Source organism: Homo sapiens, chromosome 6 (genome assembly GCF_000001405.40).
Source record: "Homo sapiens chromosome 6, GRCh38.p14 Primary Assembly".
Taxonomy (NCBI): domain Eukaryota; kingdom Metazoa; phylum Chordata; class Mammalia; order Primates; family Hominidae; genus Homo; species Homo sapiens.
Window position 1 is genome coordinate 89,093,838 of NC_000006.12, and position 25,841 is coordinate 89,119,678.

Sequence of the window (25,841 nt, forward strand, 5' to 3'; positions counted from 1 at the left end):
TCATGTGAAGAGACTGACCCTTTAATCTACCAACATTCTAAAAGAACCTGAAACCTGACACACAGTAAGATTTTTTTTTTTTTTTTTTTTTTTTTTTTTTTGAGATGGAGTCTCACTCTGTTGCCTAAGCGGGAGTGCAGTTGAGTGATCTTGGCTCACTGCAGCCTCTGCCTCCCAAGTTCAAGTGACTTTCCTGCCTCAGCCTCCTGAGTGTCTGGGATTACAAGTGCCCACCACCATGCCTGGCTAATTTTTGTAATTTTAGTAGAGACAGGGTTTCACCATGTTGGCCATGCTGGTCTCGAACTCCTGACCTCAAGCGATCTGCTCGCCTCAGCCTACCAAAGTGCTGGGATTACAGGCATCAGCCACCGCACCGGCCTCTTTATTTTTTTTTATTTTTTGAGACAAGAGTCACTCTGTTGCCCAGGCTGGAGTGCAGTGGCACCATCTTGGTTCACTGCAACCTGTCTCCCAGTTTCAAGCGATTCTTCTGCCTCAGCCTCCTGAGTAGCTGGGATTACAGGGTGTGCCACCACAGCTGGCTAATTTTTGTATTTTAAGTAGAAACGGGATTTCACTATGTTGGCCAGGCTGGTCTCGAACCCCTGGCCTCAAATGATCTGCCCCACCCCCCGGAACCTCCCAAAGTGCTGGGATTACAGGCACGAGCCACTGCACCCAGCCTAGATATTTTAATTTGTAACCTATTTACTAGTTTATAAACAGATGTAGGTTGAGTATGGTGTTTTGAATTATGTGAACCAAACATATACCTAGGGTATCCTCAATATCCTATTTTCATCCAGGGAGTGATTTAAATGCTAAGGTGCATAATCCACATTTAGTACTAGGAAATGTTTTCTAAATATTTAAATAAGAAAAATGAAAGAAGAAATTGACATTTGAATGCCTGTCAGGTACTCGGCATTCTGCTACGCATCTTTTTTTTTTTTTTTTTTTAACCCTAACAACCCAATGGGGCAAATATATCATTTTACAGGTAAAGAAACTGAGGCTCACAGATGTTAGGTAACTTGTCCAAGGTTGCATAGCTAGTAAATGTGTATAGAATTCAAACTGAATTCTGACTTCAAAATCTGTAAATGTCTCACTGAACCATTGGTCCTTAAACCCTTGGGAGTCATGGACTTGTTTCAAAATTGTATAAAACTACATCACCTTTCTTTCGAGAAATGCACACACAGTAGTTTGGCATTTCGCTTTACAGAGCCTAGACCTGAAGCTCTGGGTCTATTATGCCACGTGAAGATACCCTGCACCAGACAGTACTGCATTAAGTAACATATATCTATCTATACAAGTACCCTACATATTCTACTACCCTGTCTTTGGAAAACAAATCTAATTTTTAAATCTAAGAAATTATAATTTTATTTATTTTTGAGACAGTGTCTTACTCTGTAGCCCAGGCTTGAGTATAGTGACACCATCTCGGCTCTCTGCAAACTCCACCTTCCAGGTTCAAGAGATTCTCGCGCCTCAGCCTCCTGAGTAGCATGCGCCACCACGCCCGGCTAATTTTTTTTGGTATTTTTTAGTAGAGACCTGCTTTCACCATGTTGATCTGCCAACCTCAGCCTCCCAAAGTGCTGAGACTGCAGGTGTGAGCCACCAGTCAGCCAGAAATTTAATGTAGTTTAGAAGGATTACAAAAGTATTTCTACATACCTTTAAATTTTGACTAATTTTGCCTCTGGCAATGGGATCAAAATAAATGCAGCAATTCTTATTTGTAATGCAACAGCATGTCTTAGAACAGTTAGATCTCAAGTAAACTTTACAAATAAAGTACTGGAATTAATTTACATTTAAAAATAAATTAGCCCAGTGGCCTAAAATTAAATCCGAGGCTCCAAATAAAAATTTCAGCAAATTCCCCTATTATCTGTTAACACCGAAAAATATCAGCTGCTATAAATTATTTGTGCATTATTCCTGGGGAGAAAGCAAGCAAGCCGCTGTCATGGCAGTCTCTATTTTCTTTGACCCTAACTTATCCTCTATGATCCTGAATAAATGGTAGGTAGTACCCCTGCACTAAACTTGGGAAGTACTTAAATAAATATAGTCTCTTTAAAAGAACTGATCACAGATGTCTAAAATTAAAACGTTTGATTTATTAATAAACAAAGTATCTCTCTTAAATGGGCCAAGAAACAATTCTATGACAAAAGTGAACCCTGGAATATAGATATTCCCAGAAGACAATTTTCCAGGATACCCAGCCAAACAATTTTCACCTAGTCACAAAAGTCATTTTCATCGAAGCCTACAGTCATTCCTTTTTCTAATTCTATTCTCTCATTTCTTTCTAAACATGATTTTAATAAAGCATATACCTGTCAAAGACTTCTCTTTGCAAAAGACATAGGAACAGCAGTCAGGAAGAGGACTCTGAAGCCCAGTCACTCCACAGATCCAAAGTTTATGGCTGTGTGCCCTTGTAACTTAGCCTCTCTGCATCTGTTTCCTTGTCTGTAGTGGTACTAGGTTGGCGCAAAAGTAATTGCGGGATATTTACCTCATAAGAGTGTTGATGGTTAAATACAAGAGTGAATAACTTAAGACATATAGAACAGTGCCAAGCATGTACTAAATGCTCAAAAGAGTTTGAGCTATTATCATTCCAGCTTTTTCATCAAACCAAATGGTATCCTCCTAAGCAGCCCAGGGATTACAATGACAAACCTAGTCAGAGGTAAATCAAAGGATTAAATATGTTCAGGAATACAGAGATTTGTGAATACAGAGTAAAGATACTATAATCAATCCCTAGTTATTATTTTTCACAATGGTACCTAGTTATTATTATTTTTATAGATAAAGGGGTCTTGCTATGTTGCCCAGGCTGGTCTCAAACTCCTGGGCTCAAGCAATCCTCCTGCCTTGGCCTCCCAAAGTGCTAGGATTACTGGTGTGAGCCACTGTGCCCAGCCCCTAGTTTTTAAAATGATTTCACTTATGTGTATGAACCCAAACATTCTGAAAATACTAAAAATTTCTATCAATATCTGTCTTACTCATTCTTCAGATTATCCTTTAGATTTTCAGTAGTGCCACATAATTTTATAACTAAATTTTATTATAGCGGAATAATTCAAAGAGTTGTAGTTTTGAAATAAATTTTGCTATGATTAGAGAAAATCTATTCAGAAAGTACAATATACATTAATTTATGGCACTTGTCCAAATATTACCAGCATACAAATTATTGTTTAAGGTTGTTTCTTACATATGGGATCTAATATGCAAAGAAAACTGGAATTTGTATTCAAAACAAATAGAAGCAACACTGGCTCCTATATACTAAAAATATAAGACAGATTTTTTTCTTAAACACTCTGGATACAAATACTAACTGTATGGATTGAGAACTTTGAAGTTTTCATAATGTAAGTCACAAAGTATACAAGTAGAGCTCTATAAATATATCCCCTATAATAATCATATGCAAAACCATTCTATCACAAACACTACCAAAACCCTTTGAAAAACATAAACTACAACACATTTTCAAAGAAATTATTAGTTATAACAACTACAAAAGCAATAAATATCAATAAAGTTATTTGGCTGTCAGAAATGAAGGGCAGTATAATGTAAAATTCAAATACTGCAAAGTTGTTTTTTGAAGATGTAGTCTCGAGTTTCTTCTTCTTCTTTTTTTTAAATTTTAGAGACAGGATTTCACCATGTTGCCCAGGCTGGTCTCAATCTCCTGGCCTCAAGCAATCTGCCCGCCTCGACCTCCCAAAGTGCTGGGATTACAGGAGTGAACCACCACGCTTGGCCAAGTTTCTTAATACAAGGTACTAAACACTCTTTCAAAAATAATAAGACTTGTTCCATATAAAGTTGAGCAAGAACTCTAAAAAGAAAAAATTAAGCAACAGATGAAAAGTAGGTATGTGGAAATAATGGTATCAAATATGATTTTATACAAAATGTACCATTCTTCAAATGTGTAAGTCTTAATATGAATATTTTTGGATTGTGAGTGTTGCTCAGCCTAATTTTTAAAGAATTAGTCTCAAACCATTCAAAATCCAGTATTTCTCAAAAGTTCTGATATTACTAATGTGGTCATGGTGCAGGATGCAATTTCATGTCAACTTACCTATACTGTTCTACCCAATAAAAATATAACCTTTGAGCTTAGGAGAGAATGTATCTTTTGAATGTTTGATCTCTATATATATTCTACTTTTTGGAACATCAGAATTTTGTAATATGAACTAATATCCACCAGGAATTGGCCCAAGTTTAAACAGAAGACACAAAAGAGACATAGGTGTCAAACAGCTTAAGTCTGCTCTATGCAATTATACAGTCATAGTTACTTTTTACATGAAAGTGCTTTAAAGTCAAAAATATTTGTGTAAAAGGTATTATTAATAGTACTAATACTATGCAAGTAGAATTTTAAAAATTAGTTCCAGTTTACTCATTTCCCTTGAAAAGTACCCTTCTGCCACAATGTAAATAAAAAATGGTCCATAAAATGGTGACATTAGACAAATCATAATTTGTAGTGTGGGCCCTTTAAATGGAGACCAAATTTTTATTAATCCAAAGCTAGAGATTTTATTTCTTCCATATGCCCAAAGTAACTAATATCAACTCGCATTTTCTGTATGCCTTAAAGAATTTTTATTTAACATAATGAGAGTTTAATAACTTATATTAAAGACGGCGTGGTGCTCTTTCTGTTGCTGTTCACCAACTGTTTTTATGACGATAACTTCGAGATCTGGAATGTGACCGAAAATGAGAATGCTTTGCTGTTTGTACTTTAGTTTCAGAATTGGTATACCCTTTGGGAGATTTACACGGGGATCTTGCTATTGAGTCAGAATGTCTTCCATGTGATCTTGATTTTGTTCCTGAGCTAGTCTGCTTTTGAGGTGAACTTGACTGTGATTTTCCTATTGACTTGGACCTCTTTTGTAAGGACTTGGACCTTGACCGTCCTCTAGAGCCAAAATTCCTTCTTGGAGTTCTTGACTGCCTTGCTGAGGTAGACCGCCTTGGTAATGATTTGGAACGAGATTTAGACTGGCTATAAGAAAATCGCCTGTGTCGAGACCTGCAAACATCCATAATGTTAGAGCATATATTTCACACAAAATAAGAGATCAGGAAATAACACTTTCAGGAACTTACATACTTTACATAACATTAGTTATATTTTTACTAGATAAGCTAAAAAAATTTCTCATTTTATTATGCATGCTTTTGGTTCAAACATAAGTAACAAGTTTGTAATATTTGTTATACTAGAATATATGGCCAAAAATTTTTACTTTGCTAGACATATAGGGATCAGTTCTGAAAAATACACTGCATATTTGGTCTGAGTTATACAGCTCTTAAGAGGTACAAAAATCTGAAGAAAAAAAGATTAAAAAAATCAATTATTTACAGTTCAAATAATGCTTATAAAAATAAAAATCTAGATGTAGGACTTTTGGGTCCTGCCATGACAGAACAGCTTGTATTAGACTAATCTTCCCATAGAAAACAGCTCTCTCTCTCTCTCTCCATATATATATACATATATATATGTGTGTATATATATACACATATATATGTGTGTATATATGTGTGTGTATATATATATGTGTGTGTATATATATATGTGTGTATATATATATACACACACACACACACATACATGTTTTTTTTTTTTTTGAGACGGAGTTTCGCTCTTGTTGCCCAGGCTAGAGTGCAATGGCACGATCTCAGCTCACCGCAACCTCCGCCTCCCAGGTTTGAGCAATTCTTCTCTCTCAGCCTCCAGAGTAGCTGGGATTACAGGCATGCGCCACCACGCCCAGCTAACTTTGTATTTTCAGTAGAGATGGGATTTCTCCATGTTGGTCAGGCTGGTCTCAATCTCCCGACCTCAGGTTATCCCCCTGCCTCGGCCTCCTAAAGTGCTGGGATTACAGGCGTGAGCTACCACACCCAGCCGAAAACAACTATATTGAAAAGCTACACAACATTTATAAAACAACTGTTCGAAGGCACTGGAGGATAATCAACACAAGCAGGAAGAACCTGAGGGATTACAAGCCTTGGCTCTTTTACTAAGACCATTTTTCAAATGACAGCATGGAGGAGTTGAGCCCAACCAGAAAATGGCTATTTGACTAAGCTGAAGAGAGAAAAGTTAATTCAGGGCTACCAAAATGGGTGGGACACGAGAGGCAAAAACTCTAGAGAAGAGTGAATTAGAGACCAAAAAGTACCTCTAAAATTTGCCTACAAATTATCCTTAAATCACTGGCCATCTTCTAAGTTGTGTGTGTATGGAAGAGATTCCAAGGGACCAGCAAAAAACCGGAATTCAGAAATTCAAGAACTGCGCTGAAATTTTTATCAGACACACAGTGCTGAGAGAGAGATTAGAGTTCAAACTCCCAAAAGGTCAATGAGGAACATTAGGTAACAACCCAGAAGGGCTACAATCTAGAGGTAAGGGCCATGCCCTAGGAATAAATTCAAAGCCAAAACAAGCAGCTTTAACAACACCCAAAACCAAGCCTTAAGATCAAAGTGATCTGCCAGTACTCTGTCTACCAGAAGAAAACTGTCTTTGGAGAATGATAATGTCATGCAGAGCCTCTATAATTTTTTGTCCATGTCCACATGTTATGTTAAAAAAAAAAAAAACAGGCAAGAATAACTAAAAACTAAGGAAAATAAAAGGCAAAGAATCATTCCCAAAGTGATTTGGATATTGGCATCATCAAACAGGAATTTAAAAAATTACTATGAGTAATATATTTAAGAAAATAAGAGGAAAAGACAAAACAGATAAAAAGATCGTTCAGTGGAAAACTACAATCTATAAAAAGAAACAAATAGACATTTAAAACTAAAAATATATGATATCTGAAATTAAAAAGTCATTAGATGGTCTTAACAGCAATCTAGATATAGCAGAAGAAATAATGAACTAGACTGGGTGCAGTGGCTCATGCCTGTAATCCCACTTTGGGAGGCCAAGGCGAGTGGATCACCTGAGGTCAGGAGTTCAAGACCAGCCTGACTAACATGGTGAAACCCCATCTCTACTAAAAATACAAAAATTAGCCTGGCATGGTGGTGCATGCCTATAATCCCAGCTACTTAGGAGGCTGAGGCAAGAGAATCAATCACTTGAACCTGGGAGGCAGAGGTTGCAGTGAGCCAAGATCGTGCCATTGCACCCCAACCTGGGCAACAAGAGAAAACCTCCAAGACAAAAAAAAAAAAAAAAGAAAAGAAATAGTTAACTAAAAGATCATTAGAAAAACATCCTACCGAAATACAGTGTGAGAAAAGGAATTTTAAGAAATCCCTAAAAGAACACAGCAGATGTATAGCATACAGTCACACAAGCCAGAGGAAAGACTGAATAAGGCAGAAGCAATATTTGAAGAGATAATAGCATAGAATTTTACAAAACTAACAAAAAGCATTAACTCACAATTTCAAAAAGCTCAATAAACCCCACATAGGCAAAGAAAACTACACTGGGCACATCACAGTGAAACTGATGAAAACCAAAGTCAAAGAAAAAATCTGAAAACCGGCCGGGTGCGGTGGCTCATGCCTGTCATCCCAGCACTTTGGGAGGCTGAGGCAGGTGGATCACCTGAGGTCAGGAGTTCCAGACCAGCCTGGCCAACATGGAGAAACTCCGCCTCTACTAAAAATACAAAAATTAGCTGGGTGTGGTGGCGGGAGGCTGAGGCAGGAGAATCGCTTGAATCTGGGAGGCGGAGGTTGTAGTGAGCCGAGATTGTGCCACTGCACTCCAGCCCAGGTGACAGAGTGAGACTCTGTCTCAAAAAAAAATAAAAATAAAAATAAATCTGAAAACCTTGCCAGAGAATGAAAGACAAATTTCTTTCAAAGGAGCAACCACAAGACTGACAACTCACTATGGGTATCAGAAAAACAATGGAATGACATTTTTAAAGAGAAAAATAAAATCACTGCCAATATAGAATTCTATCCTCAGCAAAAATATTTCTCACAAATGAATTTTAAATAAAGATGTTTTCAGACAAAAGCTGAGATAATTCACTATCAGCAGATGTGTACTATAAGAAATACTAAATATTCACTGCCCTGGTACTTCTCGGTGAGCTGAAAGAGGAAAAAAAGAAATACTAAATATTCTTTAGACTGAAGAAAAATGATACTAGATAGTAACATTGAACTAGATGAAGAAATTTAAAAAGCTTTCTTTGGAGAATGATAACACCATGTAGAGCCTCTTCAATTTTTGGTTTTGTTTGTTTGTTTCTGAGACAGAGTCTTGCTCTGTCACTCAGGCTGGAGTGCAGTGGGGCGAGCTTGGCTCACTGCAACCTCTGTCTCCCGGGTTCAAGCGATTCTCCTGCCTCAACCTCCCAAGTAGCTGGGATTACAGGCACGTGCCACCATACCTGGCTAATTTTTGTATTTTTAGTAGAGATGGGGTTTCGCCATGTTGGCCAGGCATGTCTGACCTCAAGTCACCTGCCTCAGCCTCCCAAAGTGCTGAGATGACAGGCATGAGCCACTGCACCTGGCCTCTCTTGAATTTTTTATTATATATTTATACTGAAAATACATTGATGTAGAATATATTCTGGAATAAATTCACAGTCTTTTAGAAATTATTAAATTTCATTCATTTTGTAGACAGCTGTAGGAAGCAAAATGAAGAAAATGTCCTTGAAAAAAAATCCTAACATAGTAAAAGAAGGACGCTATAATATATTTGGACTAAAGAAAAGGGAGTTGAGGAGCAATTTTAACACTGTTCAGGAACATTTAGAGTTCTAACATACACATTCCTTGATATAAAGTTAACAAAGATTTACAGAATACCTTTTTTTACATTTTAATAATTTATTTATTTATTTGTTGTGAGACAGAGTCTTCCTCTGTTGCCCAGGTTGGAGTGCAGTGGTGCAATCATGGCTCACTGCAGCCTTGACCTACTGGGCTCAAGGAGTCCTCACACCTCAGTCCACCCTCTCCCTCCCTCCCAGTAGCTGGAACAGGTGTGTGCCACCACACGTGGCTAATTTTTTTTAGTTTTTGTAGACATGGGGGTCTCACTATGTTGCCCAGGCTGGTCTCTCAAATTCCTGGACTCAAGTGATCTCACCCTGGCCTCCCAGAGTGCTGGGATCACAGGTGTGAGCCACTGCACCTGGCCATAAGACAGTTTTTAAAATGAGAAAAACTGGTGTCAGGGAGGTTAAGCAATGGTCTTATAACAAGTACAAAGCAGAATAGCATTGCCCTGAAAGATGTGGTCCTTCCATCCCTGATACTCCAGGATGATTTGAGACAGTCAAGTATTATACTTTACTTCCACTAGAAGGCAGAAAATGATGTGAATATCCACCTTATTTAAATCAAGCAAGAGAAAAAAACTGGTTCACTAAGGCTGTAATGCATTTAGAAACAATCAATTTAAATTCTTTTTTTTTTTTTTTGAGACAGAGTCTCGCTTTGTCACCCAGGCTGGAGAGCAGTGGCGTGATCTCAGCTCACTGCAACCTCTGCCTCCCAGGTTCAAGCGATTCTCCTGCCTCAGCCTCCCAAGTAGCTGGGATTACAGGCCTGTGCCACCACACCCACCTAATTTTTGTATTTTTAGTAGACACGGGGTTTCGCCATGTTGGCCAGACTGGTCTCGAACTCCTGACCTCAGGTGATCCGCCCCCGCCCTGGCCTCCCAAAGTGCTGGGATTACAGGCGTAAGCCACTGCGCCTGGCCTGAATTTTTAGTAGAGACAGGATTTCACCATATTGCTCAGGATGGTCTTGAACTCCTGACCTCAAGTAATCCACCCGCCTTGGCCTCCCAAAGTGCTGGGATTACAGGCGTGAGCCACTGCACCTGGTCCATATAATTAATTTCTGTTGTGATTCACTATTATTCTAATAGAAATAAACTCCTGGCTAGCAAAATAAATAACTTGAAAATATCTTTTCCCCTGCCCCCAAATTACTATTTAATATGTCTTCTTCAATACTGCCATACTTGGAATTTATTCTTGATAACTTATCTTTTATAAGTAAATTGATTTACATTAACTTTAGTCAACCACCTTTCACAAGGGATTTTATTATATTTCTTTTTTTTTTTTTTTTTTTTTTTTTTGGAGAGACGGAGTCTCACCATGTTGGCCAGGCTAGTCTCAAACTCCTGGCCTCAAGTGATACTCCCACCTCAGCCTCCCAAAGTGCTGAGATTATGGCACCTGGACATTTTATTGTATTTCTTACACATTTAAACATTTTTAAAGTTGAAGATTACAAACTGTTGGGCACATTTAGGAAAATTTTATTTATCTAAAACTCATCACCTTTTTTTTTTTTTTTTTTTGCTTTTTGTTTTGAGACGGAGTCTCGCTCTGTCGCTCAGGCTGGAGTGCAATGGCGTGATCTCAGCTCACTGCAACCTCCGCCTCCCAGGTTCAAGTGATTCTCCTGCCTCAACCTCCTGAGTAGCTGGGATTACAGGTGCGTGGCTACCACACCCAGCTAATTTTTGTATTTTTAGTAGAGGCGGGGTTTCATCATGTTGGTCAGTTTGGTCTTGAACTCCTGACCTCGAGATCTGCCCACCTCAGCCTCTCAAAGTGCTGGGATCATAAGTGTGAGCCACTGCACGCGGCTGAGTATGTATTTTTTTTTACTTTTTTTTTCTGCTCACTATATATTATCTTCTCATGTAAAAAGATAAAGTTAAGTCTGTAACTTTAACAGAAGAATTAATCCCATAAACCCAAGTTAAATAACAATATATGATAAATAGAGAAGAGTGTTATCTTTTAACAAAAATTGATTATGTTTGTACATTAAGCAAAATGACTAAGGTGGACTGTTTATAAAAACTTTAAAATATTTTCCAGGCTGGGTGCAGTGGCTCACACCTGTAATCCTAGCACTTTGGGAGCCTGAGGTGGGAGGAACACTTGAGCCCAGGAATTTAAGACCAGCCTGGGCAACATAGCGAGACCTCCAATCTCTACAAAAAATTAAAAAAATTAGCCCAGTGTGGTGGTGCACACCTGTAGTACCCGCTACTTGGGAGGCTGAGGTGAGAAAATTGCTTGAGTCTAGGAGGTCAAGTCTACAGTGGGCCATGATCGCACACTACTGCACTCCAGCCTGGGAAACAATGAGACCCTATCAAAAAAATATATATCTATTTCCCAGAAAAAGTAGAAAATGAAATTTTCAGTCCTCTTATACTCACTCTTTAAGGCTGTCTGACCGCCTCCTATTTCTTCCCCATGAAGAACTTCTACTTCGAGTTCTTCTTTGGCTGGGGCTTCTTGATCTCCTGTGATCACTTGGAGAACAAGGATGACGTTCTTTTGATTTCATTTGGCCTGGTGCTGGAACATAAAGAACAAGACTTATGACATAATTCGTTACCTGAACACCACAGTAACAACCACTCAACTAGCAATCATTTACTGAAAGAATTTTAAATTAAAAAATCAGTCATCACTGAAACTCATTCTGCTGAATAAATAAAATCTAGCATTCAGTCACACTTACTTTTGCGATCACCTTGTGCAAACTGTATTTCAATCTGACGGCCACATACCCACTTTCTATTGAGGTTATAAAGAGCATCTTCAGCATCTCGAACATCTTCAAATATGACTAGCTGTTAAGGACACTTTGAACATGAGATATCAAGTAAACATATTTTAAAAGCATTATTTACATGTGAAATGAAATTAATAGGAAAATCAAGTTCAAGTTATTAAGCTCACATCTTCAATATAATATGAATAATCAGAAAAAAAACTTTCACTTTTTCTCATGAAAACAAATGACCCATTATGTTTAGAAGAGTGAGTCTAAAAATAAAAAGAACAAAACAAACATGTAACTGTACTTTTAGTGTCTACAATAGTGTGGCTGCAGTATGCATGTATAATTTGAAAACAAGAAAAACAAAAAAAAAGTCCAAATTTGGCTAGCATTATAAAATTACAAACTGTTTAGGACTCACTCCCTTCTTTCAGATAAAGGATCCATCAGATTTTTCACTGAATATCAGCATGCAGAAGCCTTTATTCTGAAATTAAAATTACTCTTTCATTAAAAGGCTTAATTTTAAATTTGACATTTAAGAGAGATTACTTATAAACAAAACTGCACATATACAAGTGAGTTAAAACAAAACCGGATTTAGTGCTTTAAAAATGGTATCTACTTTTGAACCTACCACTTTAAATGTTTATGTTTTTTTCTGTTTTTGAGATGGAGTTTCCCTCTTGTCACCCAGGCTGGAGTGCAATGGCGCGATCTCAGCTCACTGTAAGCCCAGGTTCAAGAGATTCTCCCGCCTCAGCCTTCCAAGTAGCTGGGACTACAGGTGCCCGGCACCACACCCGGCTAATTTTTGTATTTTTAGTAGACACGGGGTTTCACCATGTTGGTCAGGCTGGTCTCAAACTCCTGACCTGAGGTGATCCACCCGCCTCAGCCTCCCAAAGTGCTGGGATTACAGGCATGAGCCACCGCACCCAGCCAAACATTTATGTTTTTACTACTTGGGATATAAATATAAAAGAAACATAAAAGCAATCTGTAAATATCTGGAATTACATATACTGGTTTGTAATATCCCACTAAACTTCCTTATGTATATAAATTATATAATATTAAACCTAGCTATAATGGAAATTAGCTATATAAAAATAAGTAACTTTTTTTAGGAGGTTGTTCACTGGTTTAATTAAAAAAATAACAAACAGAAAAAGCTCAAGATACACAATATAAAACGAGACTGGCAATTACCTCAATGTCACTTGATCTTGAACCTTGACCTTTACTCTTTAAGGCTTGCAAGATGGACTTTATAAGAGACGCAGAACCAACAAAATCAGACTTGGCTTTGACTCTGGAACTCTGAGTAAATGTAGGAAAGCCGAAGTCTCAACCTGGTGTTGGCTTTGTCTTTTGCTTGATAAAGACTTCCCCTCTTCCAGGTCTTTATATCTGTGTCCACCCTCCCTCTTTACTCCTTGATGCTTGAACTTTAGGTGCCTTTTGTCTCGCCTGCTGGGTTTATGCTTGGATTCTAGCTAACAGGTTGGTTCAAACTGGGGGGTGCTTGCCAGCTACTGTGGACTGCTTTAGATCTTCTGAGATAAAGAAATAAACACATTTAATTAGGCAATATTAATCTCATAACATATGCTACTGAATACATATATGTATAAGCACGCATATACAGTATATTCACATGCACACAATAAAATAAAGGATATTGAACATAAGCAAATCCTCTTGGGCGGCGAGTGTAGAAGTCAAGTGGAATGTAAACGTCTACTATAGGGCCATATCGACCAAACTCACGGCGCAAGTCCTCAGGCCTGAAGTGTTTTAGAAATAAGGCAAAGAAATATGAATAGCTGGATTAAAATATTTTGCCTACAGAAATCCACTTGAAACCTTCAAAAGAAAGAACATCATCTAGACCAGCATTATCTAAAATTGTTTTTTGTAAGAATCATGCAAGGTTTTGAAAGAAAGGGAAAAAAGAAAGGAAAAAAACATTCTCAGGCCAGGTGTGGTGGCTCACACCTGTAATCCCAGCACTTTGGGGGACCAAGGTATGTGGATCACTTGAACCCAGGAGTTCAAGACCAGCCTGGGCAACATGGTGAAACCCCGTCTCTACAAAAAAATACAAAAATCAGCCAGGTGTGGTAGCGTGTGCCTGTAGTCCCAGCTACTCGGGAGGCTGAGGCGGGAGAATCACCTGAGTGAGCATGGGGAGGTTGAGGCTGCAGTGAGCCAAGATCACACCACTGCACTCCATCCAGCCTGGGTGACAGAGTGAGACCCTGTCTCAAAAAAAAAGAAAACACGAAAAAAACCTCCCTAGATTCTCAGACCTCTCTTGGAGGTTCTGATTCAGGAAGTATGGATTAGAGGCTGGAAATCTGTATCTTTACAAGCACTCCAGGTGGTTGTTATGCTTAATTTCCAGAAACACTGACCCAGCATATCCACCTCTGAAAGTTATTATAAGACCTAATAAGTAATTGTTTCACTAAGAACACATTCATTTTGCTTCACTTTAATTTCATGTTTATGTTAATCTTGTTTTCAGATAGCAAGAATTAGATTCTAAAGAAGTCCTAAAATTATTTATCAGGCTTTAAAGAAAAATGGATGTTTTAATATTAAACATAAAACAAAGTAACTACTGTATTCCCAAATCTGACAGGTATTTCGAGCCTGCTTATGTGCCTTCTAGTGCGATTAGGTGCTTCAGAAGGGGTACCAAAAAAAAGAAACAGCATGATATTCATCTTCATGGAGCTACAATTTAACTGAAGAGACAAAATATTTAGCAATAATAGCTAACAGTTACAGTGCATTTATATGTTAGCCAGTGTTCACCTTACAACCACTTAATTCTTACAATTTCCCTGTGGTTATTTACAGATGATACAGACAGATTATGGGTGATACAGACAGAATTTCAGGTTATTTACAGGTAATACAGGCAGATTACAGGTGATACAGACAGAGTAACCTATCTAAGCTCACTGAGCCAGCAAGTGACAAAGCTAGAAATCAAATTTTCAGTCTCATACTGGTCCATCTTAACCACTACACCCTACTGCTTCATGGTGCTATCATAGGGATTCAGCATCAAGCTATGATCATAAAATGTGGCTCGGGAGAAATAAAGATTCAAAGATGACTAAGAAGCTTCTAGCTTGGACAAATGGAAAAAAGATGGTGTCAGTGACAAAAATTAGAAGAGAGCTAGATCAAGGAGGAAGAAAAGAGGCAAAAGAAGCAACTTTCAGGTTTAGAAATGCAGTATTTGAGGTGATGGTAGAACACTGATAAGAGTTCTATAAGCAACAGAAAATTGTGATTATATGCATATTAATTAGTGTGTATTAATATAATTATTAGAAGCCAGTGACTAAGGCTAGAGATGGGGATTTAGAAATTACATATAAGATTCAACAAAAATTGACTAAGCATCTACTTTTTGCCAGTAGCTCAGTCAACATTATGACATACTTTATTTCATTTAACACTCATAGAACATGTTTTACTATTAGTTTCTGAGGACAGTGACAATGTCTTTTTTCTTTTACTTATTCAGAATTAAGCAAATACTTATTGAGCACCTACCATGTGCCAGGCTCTAGGAATATAATGAGAAACAAGAAAAACACAATTCCTGCTCCCACAGACCATAGACTGGCATAAAGATTCTCAACCTCTCCTGAGTACTGTAATCATCTGTGAAGGGATGTTACAGACAGAGGCACCCCAACCCGATGCATTAATTCTGGACCTAATTAGTGTTTTCCATAGTGAGGCCCAGTTATGTTTAATTTTTTCAGGACTTCACAGGCAATTCTGAGACTGAAGGTTAAGAATCACTGCTAAAGCAGGTGTCTTCACCAGCATATCTCTGTACCTAATGTAGCTGCTGGGCACACAGTAGGTACTCAATATATATTTGCCTATCAATGAAAAAAGAATACATTACTGTTACCATTTAAGAGTTAAGGAGACTGAGGGTGAGAGAAGTTACCTTGCCCAGAGATCTACACAGCCAGTAGTAGAGCTAGGATTCAAATGAAGGTCTTCTGAGACAACCAATCCCATCAACCAAATGTAGTGGCTAAGAGGAAAGGGATCATAGATAATATAAAAGAGGAGGCTGCAGCACTGTGTGCCACAGAGGTCTGGAGTCTGGAAGCCAAGGGTGATGGGAGTCAGATGGAACAGGTCTTTTCAAAAGAGCCAATTCCCATTCACTGTCTCCACTCCCTCACCTGTTAGCTGTTGTTTTATTTTTGCACTTTTGGTATGATCTACTTCAATATTCAAAAAAGTACAGAGAATAATAAACACCCATGTATCTACCAACAAGATTTATTTTCTGGCCGGGCGCGGTGGCTCACGCTTGTAATCCCAGCACTTTGGGAGGCCGAGGTGGGCGGATTACGAGGTCAGGAGATCGAGACCATCTTGGCTAAGAGGGTGAAACCCCATCTCTACTAAAAATACAAAAAATTAACTGGGCGTGGTGGCGGGCGCCTGTAGTCCCAGCTACTCAGGAGGCTGAGGCAGGAGAATGGTGTGAACCCAGGAGGCGGAGCTTGCAGTGAGCCAAGATCATGCCACTGCACTCCAGCCTGGGCAACAGAGCAAGACTCTGTCTCAAAAAAAAAAAATTATTTTCTCCGTATTTGACATACTTGCCATAATTTTCAGTATTTTTAAAGAAATATTATATCCTTCTGTTACCAATGGAGGGTCTTGCCTATGAGTCCTCCAGGTTCTTGGCATTTTTAACAAAGAATTGGACAAAATGCACAAAGCAATGAAAAAATGAAGCAATGAAAGCACAGATTTATTGAAATGAAAAGATACTCCACAGAGTGGGAGCAGGCTCAAGCAAGCCACTCAAGTGCATTGGTTACAGAATTTTCTAGGGTTTAAATACCCTCTAAGGTTTCCCACTGGTTACTCGGTTACACCCTATGTAAATGAAGACTTGGCCCACCACCAGTCTGGTGGAGGGAGGCGACCAATTAGAGGCTGAAGCAAAGCTACAAAGTTACACATGAAGACTTGGCCTGGGACCAGTCTGATTGGTTGTAGGAGGGGACCAGTCAGAGGTACTTTCCATTTTTTATCTGTAATACAGTGCAAAGGGAGTAGCCTCTGATCCTTTTGTTACTTGGGTGTAGAGAGGTGGAGTTCTCCTTTTGATTCAGTTCTAGGAAGTCACTGTGAATCGGCCTTAGGTTCCCTGCCTCCAGACCCTATTCTCCTGCTTCAGTATCACTAGCAAAGAAATTGGTAGGCTGGAGGGTATGCCTACCTTAGCTTCACTACATGTTCTTCAGAGTGGCCCAACCAACTTACATTTCCAAAAACATGTGTTAGAATTCCCACTGTTGCCCAGGCATGGTGGCTGATACCTGCAATACCAGCAGTTTGGGAGGCCAAGGTGGGAGGACTACTTGAGCCCAGGAGTTCAAGATCAGCCTGAGCAACATAGTGAGACCCCCATCTCTACAAAAAATAAAAAAAAATTAGCTGGGCGTGGTGTCTATAATCCCAGCTACTTAGGAGGCTGAGGAAGAAGAATCACTTGAGCCCAGGAGTTTGAGACTGCACTGAGCTATGATCATGCTACTGCACTCCAGTCTGGGAAGACAGGGTGAGACTTGTCTTTTTTTTTTTTTTTTGGAGATGGAATCTTGCTTTGTCACCCAGACTGGAGTACTGTGGCACAATCTCGGGTCACTGCAGCCTCCACTTCCCAGGTTCAAGCTATTCTCGTGCCTCAACCTCCCAAGTAGCTGGGATTACAGGCATGTGCCAGCACACCTTGTTTATTCTATTATTAGTAGAGATGGGGTTTTGTTATGCTAGCTTTTAAAATTCCTCTTGAAAATATGTTGTAGTTTTTGGTGCAAAGGTTCTGCACATTTTTTGTTAACTGTTTTCCTAAGTAAGTATGCCTTTTGATGCTATGGTAAATGCAACTGTTTTTTAAAATTGTCATTGTTTTCAATTGTTTGCTGTTAATATATAGAAATAAAGTTTTTGTAAATTTACCTTATATCCTCATAACTTACTAAACTTATTAGTTCTAGCAGTTTTTTTGTTCATTCCCTAGTATTTTCTATGTAAGCAAATATGTCACCTAAGAATGGTTACTTTTATCTTTCCAATTTTTGTATTTTATATCTTTTTTCTTGCCTTGTTGCACTGGTTAGGACCTGCAATAAAACGTTGGCGGTTGTGAGTGGCAATCTTTTCTTTTTCCTGATTTTATAAGGAAAGCATTGTCTTTCATCATTAAGTATGATGTTAGCTATGTTTTTTATAGCTGACATTTATTAGGTTAAGAAGTTCTCTTCTATTCCTAGTTTGCTCACACGTTTTGTTGTGTTTTTGTTTTTGGAGACAGGGTCTCAGGTCTCACTCTGTCACCTAGACTGGAGTTCCATTAATACACTATATTTAACATTAAAAAATTATTCCTTTATGCAGTACAAAAGCAAAGATATTATTTTTCCTAAGCTACATCTTGTTTCACCAGTGAAAAGAAACATAACACAAATTTTAAAACTATTTATTTTGAGACCGAGCCTCACTCTGTTGCCCAGGCTGGAGTGCAAGGGCGTGATCTCGGCTCACTGCAACCTCCTCCTCCCCGGTTCAAGAGATTCTCATGACTCAGCCTGCCGAGTAGCTGGGATCCTCAGGTGAACCGCCCGCCTCGGCCTCCCAAAGTGCTGGAATTACAGGCATGAGCCACCTCTCCCGGCCTAAAACTTATTTTTAAAATTTCTTTAGTTCTTGTGTTCAATTTCATTTCTGTCAAATTTTACACTAATTCACAAAGCCTTTTAGTGTCTTCTGCTTTTAATTTTTTAAAAATTTGTTTTGTTTTAAAACATTCTTAGTAAATAAAATTTGAAAAATATTTGAAAAAAGGAAGAAGAAAAGTAAGTCCTACTGTCCAAATTAATTTCTTTCTAGTCTCATTTTCTTTTCTTTCTTTTTTTTTTTTTTTTGGAGACAGGGTCTCGCTCTGTTGCCCAGGCTGCAGTGCAGTGGTGATATCATAACTTGCTCCAACCTTGAACTCCAGTACCTAGGACTACAGGCACGCATCACCATGCCCGGCTAACTTTTTTTTTTTGGTAGAGATGAGGCCTTGCTATGTTGCCCAGGCTGGCCTTGAACTCCTGTCCTCAAGGGATCCTCCTGCCTTGGCCTCCCAAAGCACTGGGATTACAAGCATAAGCCACTGAGCCTGGCCCTAGTCTCATTTTCCATATATAGCTTTTTCCTTTTTTCATTTTTTAATATAGTTATGCACCACATAACAATGTTTCAGTCAATGATGAACCATATATATCATGGTGGCCCCATAATCTTATAACAAAGCTGTCCTAGACAGGTGTACCTTTTAAAAAATCTTTTACACCATATTTTTAGTGTCTTTTCTATGTTTAGATACATGTAGGTAAATGTCTTAAAATTGCCTGCGGTATTCAGTATTGTAACATGCTGTACAGGTATGTAGCCTAGAAGCAACGGGCCACACCACATAGCCTAGGTGTGTAGCTGGCTTTACTGTGTAGTAGGTTTGGGTTTGTACAACAACAAAATCACCAAATGGATTTGTCAGAACCTATCTCTGTCCTTAACTGATGCATGACTGTAACTGAAATCATGCTGCATATATAATTTTACATATGTTTTATTTAACATTTTATCCCAATGATTTATTTTTTTTTGAGACACAATTTCACTCTGTCACCCAGGCTGGAGTGCAGTGGCCGGTATTGGCTCACTGCAACCTCTGCCTCCCAGGTTCATGCGATTCTTCTGCCTCAGCCTCCCTAGTAGCTGGGACTACAGGCGAGTGCCACCACGCCCAGCTAATTTTTATATTTTTAGTAGACACAGGGTTTCACCATATTGGCCAGGCTGGTCTCGAACTCCTGACCTCGTGATCCGCCCACTTTGGCCTCCCAAAGTGCTGGGATTATAGGCGTGAGCCACCGCACCCAGCCCAATTTTTTCTATTATTAGTAGAGATGGAGCTTCACTATGTTAGCCAGGCTCATCTCGAACTCCTGACCTCAAGTGATCCACGTGCCTCGGCCTCCCAAAGTGCTGGGATTATAGATGTGAGCCACCGTGCCAGGCCCCAAAGATTTTGTTTATAAGCATACTAAATGTTAAAGCCTATTTATTTATTTATTTTTGAGACAGAGTCTCACTCTCACCCCCGGAGTGCAGTGGTGCCATCTTGACTCACTGCAGCCTCGACCACCTGGGCTCAGGCGATCCTCCCACGTCAGCCTCTCAAATAGCTGAACTACAGGTGCGCACTACCACACCTGGCTAATTTTTGTATTTTTTGGTGAGACAGGGTTTTGCTATGTTTCCCTGGCTGGTTTCAAACTCCTGAGCTTAAGTGATCTACCCACCTCAGCCTCCAAATGTGCTGGGATTACAGGCATGAGCCACTGTGCCCTATCTTTAAAGCTAATTTTAAAAGTGTCTACATGTCACATTGCTAGTTAACTTATACTGTATACTACTTTGTACTAAAAGGTTAATACAGATTACATGTGATGATTCTAATTTCATATCATCACTCACCTGCTATTCGATCTTAGGCAAAATACTTAACCTAAACGTTGATTTCTCATCGGTAAAATGGGGTTAACAAAGAACATACGGCCAGGCGCAGTGGCTCATGCCTGTAATCCCAGTGCTTTGGGAGGCCAAGGTGGGCGGATTACCTGACATCAAGAGTTCGAGACCAGCCTGGCCAACATGATGAAACCCCGTCTCTACTAAAAATACAAAAATTAGCCAGGCATGGTGGCACACATCTGTAATCCCAGCTACTCGGGAGGCTGAGGCAGGAGAACTGCTTGAGCCCAGGAGGCGGAGGTTGCAGTGAGCCGAGATCGTGCCACTGCACTCCAGCCTGGCTGACACAGCAAGACTCTGTCTCAAAATAAAACAAACAAACAAAAAAACCACCATACATTATAGGGTTACTGCGAAAATTTAATATATGTAATGTTTTTAGTATGGCACCTAGTACACAGTGAGTATTCAACAAATGTTAGAGATTTCATTCATGTAATATAATCTTGTAGATTTTGATTGTCTGCCAGTGGCAAAGCTAAAAAAAAAAAAAAGTGAAAAAATGGAAAAGGAAATCAGTCAATCTCAACTATCAGTCTCAATCACTCACTGGTGAATGAAGTACATAGATCAGAGATCAGGTGTCACCTGCAGATGTGTTTTATTTGGCCTGCATGACGTTTAAACATTTTTAAAATGCGTATAAATATGAAATTGCCAATATTTTACTGCTTTTATTTTTTTAGTTTTTGAGACAGAGTCTCGCCCTGTCGCCCAGGCTGGAGTGCAATGGTACTATCTCGGCTCACTGCAACCTCCACCTCCCGGGTTCAAGCGATTCTCCTGTCTCCGCCTCCCGAGTAGCTGGGATCACAGGCACGCACCACCATGCCTGGTGAATTTTTTGTATCTTTAGTAGAGACGGTGTTTTACCATGTTGGCCAGGCTGGTCTCAAACTCCTAATTTCGTGATCTGCCCACCTCGGCCTCCCAAAGTGCTGGGATTATAGGCGTGAGCCACCACGCCCGGCCACAGCTTTTATTTTTTTAGACTCTCTAAAGGTCTCTCTGTCACCCAGGCTGGAGTACAGTGATGTGATCATCGTTCACTGTAACCTTGACCTCCCGGGCTCAAGTGACCTCCCGGGCTCCCACCTCAGCTTTCCCAGTAATTGGGACTACAGGTGTCATACACCAGGCTACATTTTATAGCTTTCTTTTATTTATTTATTTTTTGAGACAGAGTCTCACTCTGTCGCCCAGGCTGGAGTGCAGTGGCCTGATCTCGGCTCACTGCCAACCTCCACCTCTGGGGTTCAAGCGATTCTCGTGCCTCAGTCTCCTGAGTAGCTGGGATTACAGGCGCCAGCCACCACACCTGGCTAATTTTTGTGTTTTAGTACAGACGGGGTTTCACCAGGTAGGCCAGGTTGGTCTCGAACCCCTCACCTCAAGTGATCCGCCGAACTCGGTCTCCTAAAGTGCTGGGATTACAGGCGTGAGCCACCGCGCCCAGCCTTATATTTTACAGCTTTCAAATCTACAAATGGGGTTTTCTTTTTTCTTTCTTTTTTTTTTTTTTTTTTTTTTGAGACGGAGTCCTCGCTCTGTCTCCCAGGCTGGAGTGCAGTGGCGCGATGTTGGCTCACTGCAAGCTCCGCCTCCCGGGTTCACACCATTATCCTGCCTCAGCCTCCTGAGCAGCTGGGACTACAGGCACCCGCCACCACGCCCGTCTAATTTTTTTATTTTTAGTAGAGACGGGGTTTCATCGTGCTAGCCAGGATGGTTTCCATCTCCTGACCTCGTGATCCGCCTGCCTCAGCCTCCCAAAGTGCTGTGATTACAGGCATGAGCCACCGCACCCGGCCACGAATGGGATTTTCATATGATTCAACTTAATGCATCTAAAGACTAAGATTACACATACAAAATCCAGATTTCTGATTTCTCTTTACAACTAGTAAGATATATCAACAATAAGTCCAGATGTCTACATGGCAGCTGTCAGCTGGAGCCTAGAGGCAGATGCTGCACCTTTTAGATGGCATATTTCCTTTTCTATTTGCTATTCTATTTCTATTTGATAGTCCACACCATCCTACTGTGCCTTATAGGCTGGCAGCTTCACTCGTTTATATTACCCCGGCTGGCCCCTGTGAACCATTAGAATTGGAAACCTCTGATTTTTCTACAGACACCCTGAAGAGGCTTGATGCTTATTCCATTTTCAAGTTGTCTGTTCAACTGCAAGGTTTTTTAATTCTGCCCAAATCATAAATTATGTTCGTGTTTTCTATGTAATATATTGATAAAAAGGCTGACAGAAGAAATGTAAACAAGGCACCTTTTAGATGTTAACTAAGATATATTAACCACAACATATAGTTGTGATACATGTACTTGCGGTGATCAAATAAAAAATACTTGGCCGGGCACGGTGGCTCATGCCTGTAATCTCAGCGCTTTGGGAGGCCGAGCTGGGCGGATCACTTGAGGTCAGGAGTTGGAGATCAGCCTGGCCAACATAATGAAACCTCATCTCTACTAAAAATATAAAAATTAGCCGGGTGTGGTGGCACACGCCTGTAATCCCATCTACTTTGGATGCTGAGGCAGGAGAATCGCTTGAACCCGGGAGGCAGAGGTTGCAGCCAACCAAGATCGGGCCATTGTACTCCAGCCTGGGGGACAAGAGCGAGACTTTGTCTAAAAAAAAAAAAAAAACTAAAAAATAAAAAATACTTAACGTTTATTTACTCCTCAAAGGTAAATTATAATACTCATCTCAGATGACTATGGAGTCAAGAGCTCCATGTATCTATACCTCTCTGGCCCCAGGTAAATCATTAAAACTCTTAGTTTCCGCTCTCCCTTATGTACAATAAAACAGTACTGCATAGGTAGAAAGGCTGGGGGGAAGTAAATGAAGCCCAGTGAAATGAGAATGTCTATTAACACCGTTCCCTCTCCCCCCGCCCCCAATTTCTTCAGCTCCATTAAGGAAGGAAGTGCTATATGAAAAAGTCATTCCTTAGTATCTGTGTTCAGACACTCTGTAGACAAAATTCTCAACGGAGGGGTGGGGCATCAGAATCAACCAGGTGAGCCTATACTCACGCCCTTAAAAAGGGTGTTAATACTGGACTCAGAACTTTAAAGAAAAACGCACTGATCTCATTCATTGAAGTTATTTTTTGTATGCAGAATAAAATTGTGTGAATAAAATGCAAGCAGCACCGTCTGTAAGTAGACCAGAACTGGGGGAAAGAAACTGTAAGGCCCGAGTACGCATTATGGTACAAAACGTTCTCACCAGCCCCAATTCCTCTCCATCTAGGAGGGTTGGATGCGCGCGATTTTATCGGGGCACGGCGACAAAGGAGCTGAAACGCGGGCACTCGCTGGAGCGCAAACCCTCCCGACTCCCGGCGGGGAGCGACCTGAGCTCGGGAGAGGGGCGCCCCGTGTCCCACGGCCCGCCGGCTGCGGTGCTGAACCGCGGAAAGCGACGCGGGCCCGGGACACGATGTGCGCGGCGCCGGGGCTGAAAGCTGGCCGGGAGGGCGGAGGCGCGAGTTCCGCCCTGGGCCGCGGAGTAGTCCGAGGGCTCACACCTCCCCAAGTGGCGCAGCCTGGGCCCGCGGGGAGGCTCCGCGCAGCTCCCCCGAGCCTCCGCCGGGCCTCGGCCGTGCTCCGCGGCGCGGCTGTTACCCCGCCCCTCCTCCGCGCCCCCAACCTGCAGCCGCGGCCGTTCACCTGGTGGCGTCCGCGACGTTCCTGATGAACAGGGAGGTGTTGGGGGGCCTCGTGTAGCGAGACATGACCGCTTCCTCCGTTCCCTCCGGGTCTGCCCGCGGCCGCTGGACTCGCTCCGTCTCCCGCTACCGCTGCTACCACCACAGGAGCTCCGCCGGCCCCCGGCGCGACCCCCACCCCTCGGCCTCAGCCCCGCCAGCGCGCAGCCGCAGAGGCCGGCGCAGAGGGGGCGCAGCGCGGCGCCAGCCTGGACGCACGGGCCGGGGGCGGGGGCGGCGCCGGCGCGGCCCAGGGGCCGCGGGAATTCCGAAGACAGGAGCGCGGCCGTTCCCAGGCCCTATGGGATCCGGGTATGGGGGGTCCTGGAGTGCGACGGGATTTGGGGAGGGGGCGGCGAGGGCCAGTGTATGTCAGGAGGGCGGAGGCCAAGAGGGGGCTTGAGGCCGCGGCGGGGACGCCGGGGGTTAGAGGACCCAGAGGTGGTGGCGGGGCTGCGGCTGGGCGGAGGTGGGGTCAGTGAGAGCCGCTTTCAACCGCGCCCCCGCTCAGCCTCCGCGGCCCTCAGCGCATCGTCCTGAGCGCAGGACCTTGGCAGTTGGTAGGCCTCCTGCCCCTCTGGTCTTGAGCCTTCGGCTTTCCAACTGTGAGGTCTCGGTTTTGTTCGGATTTGTTTTTTTAATAGAGACGGGGTCTCGCTGTGTTGCCCAGGTGGTCTCAAACTCCTGGGCTCAAGCCTCTCCCGCCTCGGCCTTCCAAAGTGCTGGGATTACAGGTGTGAGCCACCGCGCCTGGCCTGTTGGATTTTTAAGTATTATATGATTCTTCATCCTTTATTCACTTGGGGCATAACACTCAGCTGTGAGTACATTCATTCAGATGTTTATTGAGCGTCTACTATGCGCCAGGCACTTAGCGTGGGATATAGCAATGAACAAACAGGCCAAGCCCCGCCCTCTGAGCTTACATTCTAGAGGGGGGACAAACGAATGTACAAATGAATACATGATGTAGAAGACAACAGTTTAAATGCAGGGACAGTTAAGCAAAATTTAAATTACCCTCTCCCTATTCCCCCAAAATGTTGTAGCCCATCCCCTTCTAGTTAGACTCGTCTTCGCCTTGCTCCTGTGGCCGGCAGGCACAGCCTGTTATTCAGGGCTGGGAGTGTAACCAGGCAACTCCTAAGTGTGAAGAGTGCCCCTTTTCGCTCGCAGAAGTGGTAGGCTTTGAAGAATACATGTCGTGGTCACCCTTCTAGCTCACAGCCCTCCCAGAGGCTGTGGAGGTTCCTGGGTCTGCAGCTGTACTGGAACGGTGGCTATTCTTTCATTCAGAAGGGATTGCTCTGGCACTGCAGGCACAGGGCTAGACTGGCACCGTGCCTATTCCCCTAGAGCTTAGAATTTGGTAGGGAGGCAGAATCTAACAATCACACTGGTAAAGATACAAACTATAATACAGGGCTATGAAAAGAACTATATGCTGCTGAGAGCAGGCATTGTGGGATGGTGAGCAAGGCTAGAGGGTCACTTATGTTCCCTGAACAAGTCTTGAAGAGATGGGTAAAGAATGGAGAAGAGTAATTAGTGCAGTGGAACAGCACGTGCAAAGGCTTTGAGGCAATATAGTAAATGAGGCAAAACAGGAGCATGAGGCTGGAGAAGAGTTGGAAAATGAGGCTGGAGAGCAGGCTGGATTCATAATACAAAAGCTTAGAATGCTTACCATGTGTTAGTTGGCTAGGGCTGCCATGACAAAGCACCACAGATTTGGTGGCCCGAAACAACAGAAATTTATTCTCTTGTAGTTCAGAGGCCAGAAGTCTGAAATCCAGGTGTCCGCAGGGCCATCATCTA

General features: G+C 41.5%; 2 protein-coding genes across 10 annotated transcripts in view, besides 1 other annotated feature; one reads left to right on the plus strand and one right to left on the minus strand.

The window, feature by feature from the left end:
• The first annotated feature begins 102 nt into the window (after positions 1–102).
• The window catches only part of PM20D2 (peptidase M20 domain containing 2), a 71,626-nt gene continuing 45,887 nt past the window's right edge, over positions 103–25,841 (plus strand). For all 3 annotated transcript variants that reach the window (XM_047418220.1, XM_047418221.1, XM_011535481.4), the window contains exon 1: positions 103–3,833. The gene's annotated coding sequence lies outside the window, so the exon portion shown is untranslated. The remainder of the gene's footprint in view (positions 3,834–25,841) is intronic.
• SRSF12 (serine and arginine rich splicing factor 12) lies at positions 2,122–24,234 on the minus strand. Of its 7 annotated transcripts, none has more exons than XM_047418223.1 (5): positions 23,986–24,234; positions 12,844–12,954; positions 11,590–11,701; positions 11,282–11,423; positions 2,122–5,110 (listed from the first exon to the last, which is right to left on the minus strand). In XM_047418223.1, the coding sequence occupies exons 4-5, from the start codon at positions 11,410–11,412 to the stop codon at positions 4,741–4,743; spliced, it is 501 nt and encodes a 166-aa protein (XP_047274179.1). In that variant the 5' UTR covers positions 11,413–11,423; positions 11,590–11,701; positions 12,844–12,954; positions 23,986–24,234; the 3' UTR covers positions 2,122–4,740. The 7 variants fall into 7 exon arrangements, with proteins under 7 accessions (XP_047274179.1, NP_001363826.1, NP_001363827.1 ...); NM_001376897.1 differs by having other exon boundaries at positions 11,590–11,713; positions 12,844–13,187; NM_001376898.1 differs by having other exon boundaries at positions 12,844–13,190.
• Positions 23,818–24,087: a silencer, noted in NCBI's record as "silent region_17385". NCBI's record gives its function as "represses an Ori minimal core promoter by ATAC-STARR-seq in GM12878 lymphoblastoid cells {active_cell/tissue: GM12878}" and the evidence as "EXISTENCE:reporter gene assay evidence [ECO:0000049][PMID:35858748]".